We start from the raw sequence: 1,539 nt of genomic DNA on the forward strand, positions 1-1,539 counted from the left end.
GAGTACACAAGGGCAAGAATACCAGAGGTGGGAGCACTGGGGGCTGTCTTTGAGGATACCTACCCACCACACTCACACAGGCATAGTATTTTTGGAAAGATACACTAGAAACATTCAATATTGGTTGCCTTCAGGGAAGGGAATTGGGAAACTCCCACCTCAGCCTCGCAGATAGCTAGGACTACAGGCACACACCACCACACCTGGCTCTTTTTTTCATAAAGACAGGGTTGTCTGGCTAGTCTAAACTCCTGACCTCAAGCCATCCTCCCACCTTGGCCTCCCAAAGTGCTCGTACAGGCAAGAGCCATTGTGCCCAGCCTAAATATGCTCTTGCATACCTATTTTACAATATTGATATATCACTTAAAAAATAAATCAGGCTTGGTGTGGTGGCTCATGCCTGTAATCCCAGCACTTTGGGAGGCCGAGGCAGGCAGATCACTTGAGGTCAGGATTTGGAGACCAGCTTGGCCAACATGGCGAGACCTTGTCTCTATTAAAAATACAAAAATTAGGCAGGCATGGTGGTAAGCACCTGTAATCCCAGCTACTCTGGAGGCTGAGGCAGGAGAATCGCTTGAACTTGGGAGGCAGAGGTTGCAGTGAGCTGAGATTGTGCCTCTGCACTCCAGCCTGGGTGGGAGTGAGACTCTGTCTCAAAAAAATAAATTTTATTTTAAATTTAAAAAGAACAATGAAAAATATGGCATTTTAACAGACACAAAGCTAAGAGGGAACAAAATAAAAACAATACTTAAATACTATATAGTTATTACTGAGCACCATAAACGTGCTTGTTTCTACTTAGCCATTACTTGCTTCTATGAGGGAGGTTTAAAAACCTCTTTATTACACATGCATACACATAAGCGAGCATCTCCCACTTGTAGAGCAAAATACAAACGCTTGAGCTGGGACTCATAATCCTCTTCACAATTTGGTTCCAGTCCACCCTTACTGACCCACTTCCTGCCATCCTTCTATCCATCTGTGAACTTGTTATTTGTGATACTGAACTATTATTTGCCAGTTGTGGAGGGTAAAGGCAACAAGCACAATGCCTGGCACACAGCTAGCTTTCGTCAAGTGTTGGCTTCCATCCTGCCTCAAACATGGCCTTTGTTTAGATTATCCCCTGTGCATGGAATGCCCCGCACCCCTCTCCTAGCCCCAGGTAAAATTCCCTTCAAGGCCTACCTCAAATGTCACTGTCATCAAGAAGGAGTTCCACAGGCAATTAGTTATCATCTCTATTCTCCCACAGCACCTGTTTTTACCTTAACTATAACACTTTTATTATTGTATTACAACTTAAGTCTCTGCAATCCAAAGTCTGGTCCTTGGACCATTAGCTGAGACTTCGTTTGAAATGCAGAATCTGGGCCCCATCCCAGACCTACAGAATCAGAATCCAAATTTTAACAAGATATCAGTGACTTATTTGCACATTAATCTTTCCCTGGTGGAACTGTGAGCCTTTCTAGGGCTCTCTTTTATTTCTGTCCCCAGAGCCCAACATAAGACTTGACACTTAAA

Source organism: Homo sapiens, chromosome 1 (genome assembly GCF_000001405.40).
Source record: "Homo sapiens chromosome 1, GRCh38.p14 Primary Assembly".
NCBI lineage: Eukaryota > Metazoa > Chordata > Mammalia > Primates > Hominidae > Homo > Homo sapiens.